The 17,361-nt window shown below is 38.3% G+C and overlaps 1 protein-coding gene across 36 annotated transcripts in view; it reads left to right on the top strand.

The window, feature by feature from the left end:
- Positions 1-17,361, top strand: part of PEX5L (peroxisomal biogenesis factor 5 like) — a 241,980-nt gene that overhangs the window by 96,684 nt on the left and 127,935 nt on the right. The gene's annotated exons all lie outside the window — the stretch shown is intronic.

The following is a 17,361-nucleotide window of genomic DNA, read 5'->3' as shown; positions in this document are numbered from 1 at the left end:
CAAGCTTCATTCTCATCCACCCCTTCCTCATCCATGCCATGCTGCCATGCCCACTTCCCTGTCTGCAAAGTCCAGGCTCCTTGTGTCTGACTGTTCCCTCTGCACACAGTCCCTAGGAAGCATAATCAGGTCACCTGCACTGACTAGTACCCAACAAGAACCAGCACATAGTCCATCCCTCTTCCTGAAATTCTGGTAAAAAAATAAATTAAAATTTTGCACCTCATGTAATGCTGAGGAGCCCCTATGTCAGCATTTCTAGGATGTGCTCATGGAGAACTATTTGGCTGTCATCATATAACTTTCCTTTTATTTTTATCCACCCTCATTTATAGGACCATAAGTTGATCAAAATGATACCAACTCATTTTTTCTCTGGCTTTCCTCTGGGTTCATGTCTTCCAACTTTGCATGATGTACACCACCAGACCTGCTCTTCTCAGGACACTCACCAAGGAGACCTGGCTATTCACACCTGTCTGCTCACTCAGTGGGGGGGCCTGAGTGCACAGCTGTAACCTCTTTATGGCTTATGAACATGCTAATTGAGGCACTTGGCTCTAGGTAATGAAGAAGTCTAGGAATGTGAATTGGCAAATCATTTGACTTTGCTCCTTTGTAAATGAGGGGCCTAACTGGGCTATATGTTCTAAGTTCTCCTCTGGGCCCAGAAGTCTATGTATCTGTAGTTAACACATACATTACCCCTAAAGCCCAGTTTCCACTTGCTTCAGACTTTCTTTGAAGCTTTAATTCCCAAGACCTATTTTATTTCCTCTCTTCTGAACCCTCTGAACATCTTGCTTTAGTTTAAGACTTCAAGAATATCCATCAATACAAATTACAGAGCCCAACCCCTAGAGTTTTAGATTCAGTAGAGAAATTGCACTTCTGACAAGTTATCGAGGTATGTGGGTGCTTCTGGTCTAGGAACCATACTTTGAGAGCCACTGGACTAAGAATTTTGAGAAGGCTTTACCAACACTGTCTTATAAGAGGTATCAATCCTGTTTTTCAGAGCTGATCACTCCTGGTTTCTTCAGTAAGCATCTTCATTTCAAAGGATGCCTACTCAATCAAAAGTGAAGACCATGTAGAAAGTCTAATTTTCAGGACAAGGATACTGAAGTGTAATTTTTAGGTGCAGTGAATTTCCCAAAGGAATTCAAATGGCATAAATTTGTGAGGCAGAGTTTCAGCAGCATGATGCAGTCTTTTCCCAGCCCCTGAGCCATTTACTAGACCAGGTCATCCTTTCAGGGCTCGTGTTTTATGCTCCTTGTGAAGAAAATACTTCTGACAATTGCTGCCTCAGAACTTAACCTCTAATGCAGTAAGTGACGGTGCACTGAACTCCAGAAGAGATTTAAGACTGGGGTCTAATGGCTTAAGACAATCCAGCACTGGTCTCACACCCTGCAGGAAGCAGCAGCTGCAGGTCTTAAAGCATTTACAAAATGCAGCATGCCCCAAAGTCAGTTTCCAAAATGAAGTAATGTCATCCATAAATTTGGAACACTTTAAGAAAGGAATTTACAGGTTATAGCCAACATTCACATCCTCTCCTTGAGGCATGTCTATGTTGAGAGTTCCTTTGCCTCACTTAAAATAGTTATCTTTTTCATTGTGTTCCTCTGTGATATTTTTCCCGTAAACTCTTATTTTGTGTGGATAAGTTAATGAACCTTATAATGCCAACCCCAGTGGATGGATGCAGACAGTTTTGTTAAACACGCTATTTCCCTTGCACACCATAGTGTTAAATGATAGTTTAGAGGTTTGTATTCATCATGCTGATCTAATTATACTAAACAGCTCTTGTTAAATCTCCAGAGTAACCAGATTTCAAGGCCTTTTGTGCAGATGCACAATTTTGAAGGGATTAACAGATTAAATACCTTCTAACCTCTCATCTATGTAAGTTAGTAATGGACAGGGTGCCTTCATTAGCATCTCAACTCCATTGAACCTAGTGGGAAAAAGGGTAATCAGCCAGCCCACATTTTAATAGATGAAAGGAAGAATTTCTTGCCTAGATGACATGAGCAATTTTATCTCTATGAATCTCCATTTGAGAAGGTGTGCCGCATTTTGTATGTTCACCTCTGCAGAGTTTACCTTTAAGATGTTTACCTCATCAGAATCCATTTTTATAATATTTAGTATGCCTTCTGGTTCCATAATTGTATGGTGTTAGTGAGAGTGATGTTGGAGGTGGTGAAGGTAGTGGTGACGGTGGTGGTGGAGGTAGAGATGGAGGAGGTGGTGGAGTCGATGGAAGCGCTGGAAGTAGAGGTGGAGATGGTAGAGGTGGTGCTGCCAAGCAATGCTAGAACTGGTGGATCCCACCCCACTTTCCAGATGAGGAAACTGAAGCCCAGAGAGGAGACAACATTATCATTTCACACAGGAGAAACATTTCTCTGCCTCTTTTCTGTCCCACTTGCACAAAACCTGGTTAATATTGGGTAGTCCTAACAAATAATACCAAAACTCTTGAACTAAGGTTCCAGAGTTACCAAATCCTTACAAGCAGGTACTCAGAAAAAATTAGGACATTCTGCTTTCCCCAAGCCAAAGAGCTGACCTGACTTCTACCTCATGAGGCTACATGTGTCCTATATACACTGCAAGGGAAACCCCAAAGCCTAGGTTCTGTGTAGTTGGAACTAGGGAACACACTGGTCTTTCCTGGAGAAATAAAATTAAGATGATTGGTCATTATATTATTATGGTTACATGAAAGGAGGCCAGAGTTGAAAGATGATAAGTGTGCTTGCAGGCAAAAATGTCCAGTGCTTCTCAGAGGCTATTTTTTTCAATAAACTTTTTTTTTTATTTTGGAGTAGTTTTAGATTTACAGAAAAGTACAAAGATAATACACAGAGTTCTCATGTACCCCGCATGCTGTCTCTCCTACTGTTAACATCTTACATTACTGTGGTACATTTGTTACAACTAATGAACCAACCTTGGTCCTTTGGTACTTACTATTAAGTAGACTCCACACTTTGTTTGGATTTCATCTGCAGTTCCCTAAATATAAAACAATATGAACTTTTTACTTTTGTAACATGGTAAACTCCATCACACAAGATGGCCTGAAGCTCCTTAAGGGTAGGCTCTAATTATATACATTTGTTCTTATTTCTTTTAGCACCTTGTATATGTATATATATATATATGAGGGGCACAATAAACGTATTGACTGATTATGCTACTCTAATACCCCACTGATTCTGTTTTAGTACAAGATAATTCACCAACCTCACTCAGTTTAGTAATAGTTTTATATACCTAGAATATAAACGAGTAGCAAAGGTTACTCATGCTGTCATGTAAGCTGTCAAATGTATTCCTCTTACTTTTCTTTTCAGAAAGCCCAGACTAAATCTCAGAGCTGAAGATAGTGGTGATAGCCATGGAGTAAAGGGTTAAGCTTTTCAAGGTGATGCTAAAGAGAGCTCAACAGAGAAAGGCTGGTGGCTCAAGAACCCCATAAATCCCTGCTCTGCTTGACTCTTCTCCTTGGTGACTAGGCTCTTGGAGAGGTACATGGCACCCTGTCCCTTGTCTCTAGGGTACCTACACATAATTGTGTCCAGCCCTTCTAGCAAAGGCCTCATTTTTTCAGAACTCAGCTTCCTTTACAAATTGAAGGTTTATCTGGAAAGTTAACAGGGCAGAATTAAGTTACTCAGAATCAACATAAAGGAGAAAATATAAGACCCAGAGCTTAAGTTTAAAATGAAAAGCAGCTCCTTTTGATGAAATAATAATAGCTAACATTTCCTAAATGCCAGGCACTATTTTACTGGGTTTATTAACTCACTTTATTTTCTAAGAATCCAAGAGATAGGTTTTCTCTTACATATGTAGAAACTTCTTTTATTCCTTTGTCTTCCACATGTTCAAGTACATAGATGAATCCCATCTGACATATATTAGTATATTGCACCTTGAAAAATAAAGTACATTGACAGCATATGAACCTGATTCCAGAACCCTTGAAAATAATGACAGGAGAAAAATATAATCAGTAAGGAATCATTTGGCTCAACTCCACCACTCTCACTACCCTATCCCCATCTCCTTCTTACCCACACCGACAGAAACACACATACAACATACAGTGGACTGCGATGACAGCTACTGTCTTGATTCGTTTTGTGTTGCTATAACAAGATACCTGAGACTGGATAATTTATAAAGAAAAGAGAGTTATTTGGCTTACAACTCTGGTGGCTGTGAAGTCCAAGAAACGTGGTGCTGGCATCTGCTCAGCTTCTGGTGGGGGCCTCATGCAGCTGGCAGAGAAGCAGAAGGGAAAGTGGGTATGCCAAAAAAAGAAAGAGCCAAAATGAGGAGGAACTTCACTTTATAGCAACCCATTCTCACACTAACTAATCCAGTCCCATGTGTGAGAATTCACTATCACAAGAATAGCATCAAGCTCCCCATGATGGTGGAGGCCCCATGGTCCAGATGCCTCCCATCAGGCTCCACCTCTTAAAAGTTCCACCTGCAACATTGCTGCCCTGGGAATCAAGGTTCCAACGTGAGTTTTGGTGGGGACACTCAAACCATGCAACTACCAAAATAATTGTGACTACCTGCAAATTTTTATAGATAGGAAAAGAATTACTTGGTTAACTCTAAAAAACATGTATTTCTCATTATTAAAGTGATATATGCTCATAGTAGAAAATAAACAACAGAAAAATACAAGTTTTGAAAAGAAAGCGAAAATAACCCAAAAGCACATCCCGCATGGGGTGGAGGCCCCAGTGGCCCAGATGCTAATGGTAGAAAATAAATAACAGAAATATATACGCTCGTGGTAGAAAATAAGCAACAGGAAAATACTTACAAGTTTTGAAAAGAAAGCAAAAATGATCCATAAGCACATCCCACAATGCAGTCATTTCTACTAGTTTGTTGTAGCTCCTACAAATCTTTCTTTCTTTGTGTATATGGTTTTCTTTCATTGAAGTCACACTGCATGTACACTTTAATTCTGAAACTTTTTTACATAGCATTACACAGTGCCTTTTTCCCATGTTATTATAAATTATTCAAAAGTATCATTTTTGTGACTAGGGTAGCATGTTTCATATTGTAAGTCAGGACTCGAGTAAGTCTGCCCCTCTGCCCCTTTGCCACTACACTGCATGCAACTCTTTTTTTTTTTTTAATTCTCATATAATGAAAAGATCATACAGGCCTTCATAAGCTTGGTTTCACTTCTGGGTTTATTCATGGCCAAGTTATTTCTGCCAAAATCAGGTCCTTTTCTATCCAAAATGCTTTAATATTGACATCTGACCATTTATAACAGGAAGGCACATAAACACAGTGACTCTCTAATTTATGATACTGAACTAGTAAAAAGAAAATGCTTTTTAAAATACATTAATACAATCAAATGCTACCACATAAGGAAATCAATATTTTTGAGATTATAGTTTCCAAACAATTAGAGTATTAGTATTGAGCCCTTTTGTGTGTTCAGCAAAAACCCAAACAAGGAGAGTAATAAACGGCATAGGGAATACAAATTGATATTAGATTCATAATAATATTTTCTGGTTAGATAATTTTTATTTGCTTGATGTTATGTCAATGGAAATAAAGTGGAGAGAGTATAGACTTTGAAAACAATAACTGAATTCAAATTCCAGGTTTGCCATTCTGTAATTTCATTTTTTACTAGGCAAGTTGTTTAACCTCTGAGACTCAGAGACCTCACCCACAAAATAAGGTTCACAGTGTCCACCTTATCGTGTCATTTGTGCTAAGGATTAATTGAGACAATGTTCATGAAGGTTCTTAGTGCATGGTACATAACAGAGGCTTCATAAATGATAGTTCTCACTACCATTTCTTTTCCCTAAATAGCCTGGTTTATTCAACAGACATTTAGCTTAATCCCTGGTTCAGTACACATAATCTTTCCAATCCTCCTTCCTTCCATATGTATACATAGATCTTGCCATATCCACTTGTGCAGAAATGTGCTATATGTAAATGCAAATTTTACTCTATGAAAATACATATAAGATATCCTCCAGAGTAGCAGCTATTCATATGCATGAATTGTATGCCAACCTGCTTGATCTGGATAGAGTTGGTGCAGGCTGGACGTAACAGCAAGCTGGCTGGAGCATTTGCTCTGCTCATCAATCGCCAAGCCAAATTCGGCAGATCTGCCTGGCTTGTCAGAGAGGATATCCGTTTCTTCTTTTGTGTCCCATTGGGTCTTCTGAGTCCTGGCACAACCTTCCCAGCTAGAGAAGTGTTCTGCCATCAGGCATGTCAGAGTGGGTCACAATTCAAACATAGGGAACAGACTGCAATCTAAAGCAGTGCTACTCAAGGTGGTCCTAAGACCAGCAGGTCAGCACCACCTACAAGCAAATTTGGGGACTCTGCAAAGGCCTACTGAATCAGAATATCTGAGGGTGAGGCTCTTCAGGTGAGCCTGATGCTTGCAAAATTTTAATTTAAAGTGAAACTTCATTCATTCAACAAATGTTAATGGAGCTCCTGCCTCTCTCCCCATCACTCACTTGTCACCAAAAACATTGACTTCCTTGCTGAACCTTGAAATAGGAAGAGGAAAAGTAAAGATTTTTGATGTAACTACCCAGAACAGTTAAAATTCCATTTGTATTTCATCAGTGTTCCTAGTTCCAATTTTCAGACTAGTTTCCAATGTCTTTTAGAATTTTAAAAATTCAGTTAAAGTGCTGGCTTTTTAGCAATAGAAATTTCACTGGTATTGAAATTAGTTTTCTCAAAAAAAAAAGAGAATTGTATATGACTCCATTATCTCCAGTCACTTCATCTAGGACAAGCTTCCCTGGAAAATGCCAGCATTAGCAGCATGAGCTGGTGCTGTGGATGATAGCTTTGGCACAGAAGGCACATGTGCATATAGCACTTACGCAGCAGGTGGCCATAATCATTTCCATGACTGGCTGTCGATTTCCTGGTAACAAGAGTCGCTTAGGTACATGGGCAGGACAAACACACATGGTCCAGAGCAGCCATCAGTGCTAAAAACAATTCAAGATATATGTGGATCAAAGTCAGGGGTCATTCATTATGTTAACTGAAATAGGCCGGGTGCAGAAAGGCAAATACCATGTGCTCTCACTTATATGTGGAATCTAAAAAAATTGAACTCATAGAAGCAGAGAGCAGGATGGTGGTTACCAGAGGCTGTGGGTGTGGGCTGGAGGGAGTTGGGGATATGTTGGTCAGAGGATACAAAATTTCAGTTATTTAGGAGATCAGGAGATCTATTGTACACCATGAGGACTATAGTTACAACAATGTATTGTATTCTCAAAAATCTCTAAGAGAGTAGATTTTTAAGTGTTCTAACCACAAAATTGCTAATATATGAGGTAATGCATATGTTAACTAACTTAATGAAGCTATTCCACAATGCATGCATATTTCAAAACATCATATCGTACATTATAAATATATGCAATTTTTGTCAATTTAAATAATTATTAATTTTTTTAAGTCTGGGGCCATGAATTACTTCATCAAAGGTATCTTTAAAAAAGTTAAGAATGTGAATAGAGCTTAAATTAACTTTTATTTTTCCAATTTTAAATAAGAATCAAATCAAACAATATTTGAAATCCTATCTCTTGTGGCTTTTGAAATGTCTTATATGCATTTGCCTAGTACCCATTCCTCAGAATATCATGAAGCAGAATTTGGCAATACTAAAACATTATTTACCTTTATTTTGTTTAAAACATGAAGATAGATCTTTTCTGGGGAGGTAGGGTTGTTTTGTTTGGGACTTTTTTGGTCTAATTTTAAAGCTTATCCCTGCTCATATATGAAACTCAAGCAAACGTAAACAGCAAAATAAAAAGCAGTTCAAATTCACCGTAGGTAATTGCTGTCAATATTTTAAAAGGTATTCTTACATATATCTCTTTATAATCACACATACACATACACACACACAACTTTATGTAAAAAGGACTATACTATACCTGAGGTTTTGAACCCTATTTTTCCCCTGCTCCCTATGTCCTGGAGATCTTCCAGTCTCAGTAAATATAAATATAATTTATCTTTTTAAATAGCTGCATAATGTTTTGTTTACTGGGTTATAATGTATATATATGATATGTTACCTATTTATAGACAGGTATGTTGCTTCTAGTTTTTATAACTCTAAATAAGATTAGGATAAACATATCCTTGTACATAGAAATATTTGCACATTTCTAATTTTATCACTAATAGAAATAACTAGCAGTGAAATTAGTGATAGAAGGCCATATATGCATTTAGAAGTTTGGTTCCATCAGCAATCTGCCATCCAAAAACACTGTCACACTTTTTAATCTTTGCCAATCTGATAGACAAAAATTGATAACTTGTATTTATTTCTATTTCTTTCATTATAAATGAAGTTAAAGAAAATTGAGTTTAGATACATGTGAACTTAACTGATCATCTCAGGAACCCTCTGGTTAACATTCGAGTTAATTGGGCTGTGCTGTATCCAATGAATTTTTCATTTGTAAGCTTGGAAACATTGCCTCTTTGAACCTCTTTAGAAAAAAAATTATAGCAAGTTTCTCTTAAAAGAAACAGATAAGAATAATTTAAATACATCAGAACATACGGCTTCAGGCATCTTGTCATTTTTCTAAGATATTTATAATCTTGAAAAAAAGTATTTGGGAAAAAGTCAAACTTTCCAATGTGGTTCTATCATTATAAATAATTGCAAAAAGCTATTTCGAAAGCAGACCGTGAAGAGATTAAAAGTCAGGAATCCTGGGCTCTCTGTTCCAAGTCTGCCCCCAACCAACTCAGTGACCTTATGAAATTGACTTCACCTCTGTGGTCCTCAGTTTCCTCCTTCAAAAAAAATGGAATGGATTGAATAGATGTCCTTTGAGGCCTTTGCCTCCTGAGATGTGATGATGATCTGCATTCTTAGGACAGTAGCTTTGCCAGGTCCGTTATTGACAGAGGTCCCAATACTGGCACCAATTCGACTCTAGCCTTCTATCTTGAACACAACAATAGACACTCAGCTTAAATCTTGGTCAAATGCAATGAATTCATTTTTTATTTGAAAAACATTTAATAATCTAGACAAGTTGGAGAAATGTATCATTTATTTCTGTATGTGAGTGGGTTTGTGTATGTGTGTGTGTTTTTTAATTTATTCATTTCTTAAACATTTCTTAGGTATGTACTGTCTTATAGGCTACTGCTGGAAATACAAGGCTGAACAGGTCAAATATTTCCTTCCTCAAGGAACTCAATATCCAGTGGAGAAATGGACAAATAAGCAAACAGGGATTGTCTGAAAAAAACTGTGCTTAAATAGTAGCGTTTCTTTCTCAAAATTTACATTTGTATGAGGTGGCATTTTCCTTTACCTCCATGTTGCTACAGAGATAAAAATGATGAAAGGTTTAAGCAAGCATAAAATGTCTTTAGAAAAAGCACCAAATATTTGGACCATTTTTAGAGTAAAATTATCCACTTTGAATGACAGATCCTAACATTTCCTCTTGTTTTAACTGCTCAAATAGGATTTCAACAACCAGGAAAGCATGAGGCATATTTAAAGCCCAAACATGGTTATTTTGTCCTAGTAAGTTAGAGAAAGACCAGACATAGTACAGGACAAGTCTCAGGGGTAGTGCCAATCAATAAGAGACTTCTGTGGGTAGGCAAAGCACCATATTCATGGAGCACCACAAACTTCAGTTGTACTGACACCATTGGCCAGTTTCATGGATTCCAGCATGTGGGCAGAGGCTAGCACTGCAGAAGCCAGACTGGGTGATATCAGCATCCCAGGAAGTTGGAATTTTGCTACTAGGAAGTTATTCCATATATAACAGGAGTGCAGCTACTAATCTAGGATTAAGCTGAACTTTAAGCCTCTGGAAAGGAAGTTAGACACTGTCTAGAAAAAAGAATAAGGTATACAAAGCAGTTGATAACAGAAAACAAAAATCAAAAGAGAAACAGTTTTATGACCTAGTGCAGTTATTCTCAAACTTCTGCAGGCATCAGAATCACCAGAACAGCTTGTTAAAGCTCATATTGCTAGACTCCCACATCTAGAATGTCTGATTCAGTGGGTTTGAGTGGGGCCGAAGAATTTGTTTTCAAAAAGGTTCCTAGGTGATATTGATGCTTCTGGTCCAGGAACCACACTTTGAAAAATACATACAAAACAGACTAAGAGCTCACTCAGGCTTGGCAACTCAGACATAAAAACCTTGTTTTCAAAATTGGGAGTGTGAAAGGAAGGGGAATATGTGGAAGCCCGTGGTTTTAGCCCCAGCTATGTCCCGGTCTGATAAACAACAAGAGAACCAGAAAGAGCAAGATAGGTCTACGCAGGTCACCGGGACAGATTTAAAAAACGTGGGTGGGGACAGAGTGACTGACACTGGAGATGTGATTGGTTTGGGAAAAGATGTCATGGGAGTTGAAGGTTATCCATGATCCCAGTTTTAGGGAGCAGGAAGAGGCAGGGGCAGGGGCATTAGGCAGGAACTGATCTTAACGTCCACAGGGACTCATAATCATCTCTCTGAACCAGGGGCGGTTGCCAAATGCAAACATGTGCCTGTTCTTTGTGTATACTTAAAGAGTAGTTCTATATCTAAATGCTGCTCCAAACTATAAGGTTTAATCCTATGAAATTACCAATATTTAACAGCTTCTGACTTACCAAAAAAAAAAAAAAAATGGCAACTTCACAAGATGCAACCTAATGCAATATGAACTGTAAAATAAATGTAATACAGAATATGGACTGAAAATAAATGCAAAATTCTTTATACTTAGCTCTACTCTTTTGTCAAATAAATTTTAAATGAGGAATCAACTTTTAGGTTTTCTATATTTAGATTTAAGTACTTTGAGGATTTTTCCATCACAGATTTTCCATCCTTGAAACCACTTGCACAGAACTGACTCTGATCTGCTGCCCCCTGCTGTCAGCTAGGGAAGCAACCTGATTTTTAACTGTTTGGGAGGCTAGAGCTAATCCCTTAAAAAAAAATCAGGGTTTCTAAACATGTCACTTAGGATTATCCCTTGGTTTAGGTAATCCTTGCCGGTACTTTTCTTCATTAGAAGATTATTGAGACTTGATGGAATAAGTCATTATCATGTGAGCCCTACTGGCCTGACATGTTTCCCTTTTTGGATATAACTTAACAGAGTTAGAAAAGAAGAATAGAATTACAGCTGGATTCTCAGTAACTCACACTAATGACAGGGACAGCTGTTTACAAATTTCAGTCATCAGACTAAGGAGAATGTATGGAAAGGTAATGGCATGGAGGGGCTTCAAGCCTGGATCTTGATGATTTTGCTGGAATGGGTTAGGATTTAATTGCCTTCAGCAAAAACTGGGGCTTGTGCTCCAGTAGTTTTGTTCTTTATGTGATAAAATGGAATGAGTATAAGCCAACTCTAGGTCTTTGCCCTCAATTTTTCTCTGTCACATCAAAAGGGACTGCTGGGTTTTTATAAGAATCACTGAGTTTTAGATCTAACACAGAACTGTGCTTCCGGTGGTAGGTGATGGTTGCTTGCAGGAAATGATGGAAAATGCTTAAAATTCAATCCAGAATCAGTTGGAGAGTTGAGATTGTAACTCAGATACACAACTGTTTAAATGCTGTCCACTGCCTACCCACCATTTGTTGTAAATGGTTTTTAAAGGCCCCTCGACACATTGTTTGAAGCTTAAGTGGGGAAGGAAGGGTGTGTGTCCCCGAGAGGCCCTAGCACTCTCTCAGTCCCCACCCTCAGCCATTTGTAAATGGCTCTTTGTCTCCTGGGACCTCCTCCAAAAGGGATGGGTACAGGTGTTCCCAGTTGGATCACAGGCTGAAAATGTTGAGAATGGCTATTCTGAATTATGGTTGTAATTTAATCTGGCAAATATTATTGAGCTTCTCTCTGTAATAAAGTAGGCTCTGGTGATGCAGGAGCATATAAGCCCACCCAAAGGCTCACAATCTGGCTTCCTGTAAGCGTGCAAACTGGTTTTACTCAACTATTACTGAAGTAAAGAGAATTGTTGGCAAATGTTAAACAATTATATGAAAGGAACAGGCAGATAGTCCCTGGACCCACTGATCAACCTTAACATAAATAAAAGTGGGGAAACAAGACCTGTGCATTCAAATGCATTGCCTAAATTGGGATGTGCTGGAAGCTTAACATACAGAGTGACTTGGAAAGATTTAGTCCCAGAAATATATACTTCATTAATAATATTTTATGATCACATATTGAAATGATAATTTTTGATATATTAGGTTAAATAATTACAATAGAAAAGAAAATTATTGGCTAAAACTTCCCCCATTTAAACAGCAAACTAGTGTGCTAGTGACATGAGCATTTGCTACAGTTTACACTATTTCTCATAAGATGAAAACCAAAATCTTTAACTTAGCTTGCAAGGTTACACAAACGATGGTGAAGGGCAGGTTTTGTTTGGTTTTGTTTTTTTAATGTCCAATTCCTTGCAGATTGATGATTTTATAAAGAAAATAACAATTAATTTTTCAAATAAATGAAATGGAAAAAGTCACACAAAATGCAAGCCCAATTTTATTATTAGTTTAACAAACATAAAATTACTTTGTGAAATGGCTACAAAAATTTCTACAATGTAGACTTCCAATTTTTATACTTGCCTCATCCCCAGTAAGGTAGCAAACAGTTCACAGTCCACATACCACTCTCTGAGTGACACAGGCTAGCCCCTGCCTACCTCTCCCTATCACTCTCTGCAGGCAGCCACACTGGCCTGTTTCCCTTCTTAGAACATGCCTCTCTCCTTACACTGGCAGGACTCCCAACCCCTCTGTGCCTAGTTAATCGTAACTATCTTTCAGATCTCAAGCCACAGCCTCTGTCTTTACCCTGAGAGCCTACACTTAGTCAGGGTCCCTGTCTGTGCTCCATTGTACCATGTGCCTCTCTTTATCACACGTTTCACCATTTGGAAGAACCCGAGTCCTTCACTAAGCTGTAAGCTTACAGTGATGGCATCAGTCTTGTTCACCAGCGATCCCAAATGCCTAGGACATACTACATGCTCAGTAAATACTTGTTTAATTAATAGATAATTAAAAATAATTTGAGCTCACAAAATTCAAACTTTCATTTTTTAACTGAGAAAACTAACTTCCAGAGAGTTTAAACAATTTGCTTAAAAATTCCAAGGACATATATATTCAAAACTGAGACCCGGATCTGCCTAAGTCCACACCATTACTTTTTTCCTAAACACACTAAAATGGGGCATTACCCAGAAATCATAAAAATTGTTTTGGATGGTGACCATTTCTATGAGTTGAAGCCATTTCCAAAATTACCCAGAAAGTTTACACGGTTAAACAATATTTTATTTTGTATCTACTCATTCATTTCACAGATATTTGTTGAACACCTACCATGTGACAGGCATTACTCTAAATGTTGTGAATGTGGCAGTTGTGGAGAAAGCCCAGGGTTTCCTGAACAGCCTCATTCTAGTTGGAGAGACAACAGCAAACATAGAAAAATACCCATAATTGGCAATAAGTCCTTTGCACAGAATTAGCACGAGATAAAGGGATGGAGGGACTTTGAACAGAATTAGCACAAGATAAAGCAAAGGAGGGCCTATTTTGGATGATGTAATCAGGAGGCCCATCTGAGGAGGTGATGCTTGAATTGACACCTGAATATGAAAAGAGGCCGAGGAGTTCTGGTGGAAGGCAGAAGGGACAGCAACTGCAAAGCTGTGAGGTTGGAACAAGCCTTAGTAAGTTCCAAGAACAGCAAGTGTGGCTGGGCAGGAGGAGGTTCTGACTCCAGGATGAATGAGAAAGTAGGATCCAATCTTGGCTGGCTGGTCCGAGGGCACTGATGTAATCGGATTTGCCTTTTCCTCTGGTTGTTAAGGAGAGCACTGTGGGGTCAGATGGAAACAGTCCAGCAGCAAGAGGACCAGTTCAGGAGTCCAGCTGAGAGATGAGGGCAGGGTAGCAGCAGTGGTGGTGGCGAGAAGTGGTCGCATTCAAGATTTATTGACTCTGCTGATGGATTGGATATTGCAGGTGAGGAAAAAAGAGAACGTGGGATAATTGCCAGGCTTTTTGACTTGAGCAATTGAGTGAATATTAGTGCCAAAAACAGAAATATTGGAAGACTCAGGAGAAACATTTGGAGGGGGGAGATTGGTTTTAAATCAAGAGTAAAGCCATGTGTGGAGTAAATAGCACACAGAGTAGACCACAGAGAGAAAACAATTTTCAATATGGTCCATCAGAAACCTTGTGATGCTGACATTTTCTCCAATAATTTTACCTGCACTTGTATGTTGTGGTATATTAAGTATGTGAATAAGAAGATTTGGGCAGAATATTAGAATAATTAAATCAAGTAATTGAAACATTAATACTGGCATAGAATATTGGTATCATTTTTCTTTGTTTTGCCTAATATCAAGTTAATTTTCCTAAATTTAGAGATAGCGAGTTAAAACTGTTCCTTCATAATATGTAGCACTATTCACAAAATTATTTGTTACAGCAATGATTCTGTGTCAAAATAGGAAATAATCTAAATTGTCATCAATAAAGTAAATATAATCTTATAACTGAATATTATTATGCAGATATAACAAAAATAAATTCTTTATGCACTGATGTAGGAAAATCTTTAAGATGTATCCAGTAATAAAGGCAAAGTATGCAATAATTGGTACAGTATGTTACTTCTTGTCATTAGAAGGATAGGATAAAAATATGTGTAGTATCTGTGCTCACTTGCATGGACATAAAGAAACTCTGGAAGGACACATAAAAAAAACTAACCACAGTGTTTATGGATAGGGCATGATGGACGGGTGAGCTAGGCAGATGGGGAGTAGGGGCGTGAGGAAGATTTTCTACTGGATGCCTTTTTAAAATTTTTGAACGCTATCAATGTAACACCTATTCAAAAAATTAAATTAAGAAAAATAACATTAGGCAGAGTTTAAAGAATGACCAGAATTATTACTGAAAACACACTGTGCTGCCAATAGAAACTTTTTAAGCAAGGCACTTCCACTGGCCTCTGAGCAACCTCCCTGGGAAAGGGAAGATGAGTTTCTGATGTGAACTCTTTCCTCCTTAGGACTTTCTAATTCTTACCTCTCAGATTCTGCACACAGCCTTCCAACTTGGGTAAGAAAGAGAGCTGAAATGTCTAGAATCTAAGATGAAAGTGATAAATAAATAATCTTATTATATTTGTTTGATTGCTTTCTTCTTACTTTGCCAAGTTAAGTGCTTTGCAGTACTTTTTAAAAATTCATTTGCTCAAAAAAAATTTTCTCTTATGTGCAACATACTGCTCTATACCCTAAAATATAAAAATTAATGTAATTTCTGTTGACTCTCTTAATACACTTAAGGTATAAGGAGGCAAGGAAATGCCATCCTTTTTGCAGGTAAGTATATTTCCATGGTCCTAAGAGATTATTAGGATCATGGAAATGCAGGTAAGTATATTTCCATGGTCCTGGCCTGAAATGGCTCAGGGCTTAATAAGAACAGCACATGCAATTTGCCAATTTAGGAGGTGAAATCCACTTGCTTCCTTTGCCTTTCTAGGTCATGATAAGGATCAAATTTCACTTTTAGAAAAGACAGCTTGTCTCTCTTCTTACCGTGAGTGTTTGCCGTGGTAAGAGTATGAATTAAATTATTTCAGCTTTGCGTTTAGGTTTAAAAACATGCTTTCTCTCGTTTATTCATTCCAAAAACATCAATCCTCTCCCAGGGACTCGACATTGATGATAGGAGAGAGGGAGCTATGAAGATGACTCTGCTTTGAACCCCGTCCCAAGAAGGTGGCATCTAGCTGGGGAGTAATGGCATGCCCATAAATAACTACAGTACGTGGCAGAGATGATCAGTGTCTTAGGAAAGGTTCAGATAAAGAGCCCTAAGGAGACAGGTATCAGCTGAGCTAGCACAGCAACAAAATCTCATCTCAAGTCTCAGGCAAATGTCACAGAAGTGGTCTAGGTCAAACCTATCCCCGATACTGAAGCCTGAAAACCTAGTCTGAGAGCGGCTTTTCAACCCAGTGTTCCCAGTGTGGCAGCTGAAGGATATCTCTTGATTATATATCTTAGTTTTGAGGTTTTTCTAAGTCTGTGAAGTACATTGCTCACTCTGATGCCTGAGTAGGTTTTGATATTCACTGCCGACGTAAACATGATTTCACCTTATTAGAAACAAATTTAGTTCCATTTTTTCCTGCAAGTAAACAAGGTCAATAACTCTCGTTAGGCCAGTCGCATAGATGAAACTCAGCTAAAACTTCTTAAAAATAACTGCTGATACTTTTTAAACACTTACTGTGCTTACTTTATAAGCATTGCTTCATCTAGTTCTTATGTCAGACTTAGAAGTTAGACAGTTATTACTGTGCTCATATTACAGATGAGGAAATAGAGAAATAAAGAAATTATCTATAGTCATACTGCTACTAAGTGGGAAAGCTAGGAGTTCAATTTTGATCTGTGTGATTTCAAAACCATGATCTTAAGCCTTATGCCCGTGATTTTCAAACGTTAGCATGCATAGAATCACTTGAAGGGGTTATTGAAACACAGCTTGATAGCTTCACCCCTAGTTTCTAATTTAATTGTTTGAGAGTGGGCTATAAGTATTTGCATTTCTAACAAGTTCCCCTATGATGCTGATGCTGAGGCTGCTGATGCAGGTGCTGCATTTTGAGAAACTTCTACCAATTTTAATTTCCCCAGTGTTCTTTGGAGGAACTTGAACCCAATCTCACTGGATAAATATTTATGCCAATTCTCCCTTTATTAGAATAATCAAGAATTCACTTGAGGGTGTTTTTTTTTTTTTTTTTTTTTGAGATGGAGTCTCGCTCTGTCGCCCAGGCTGGAGTGCAGTGGCGCGATCTCGACTCACTGCAAGCTCTGCCTCCCGGGTTCAGGCCATTCTCCCGCCTCAGCCTCCCGAGTAACTGGGACTACAGGTGCCCGCCACCAAGCCCAACTAATTTTTTTTGTATTTTTAATAGAGACAGGTTTTCACCGTGTTAGCCAGGATGGTCTTGATCTCCTGACTTCGTGATCCGCCCGCCTCGGCCTCCCAAAGTGCTGGGATTACAGGCGTGAGCCACTGTGCCTGGCCCACTTGAGGTTTTTGAACAGACTGACTCACAGAGAATTTAAAGCAAATATCCAAAATATTAAAATTCCCAATTAAATAATTCATTTTCTATGAAATGAATATGAAATTCTTTTTC

This window comes from Homo sapiens, chromosome 3 (genome assembly GCF_000001405.40).
Source record: "Homo sapiens chromosome 3, GRCh38.p14 Primary Assembly".
In the NCBI taxonomy this organism is placed as follows: Eukaryota; Metazoa; Chordata; class Mammalia; order Primates; family Hominidae; genus Homo; species Homo sapiens.
Note: the sequence above shows the minus strand (reverse complement) of the source record. Positions and strands in the feature narration are given on the sequence as shown.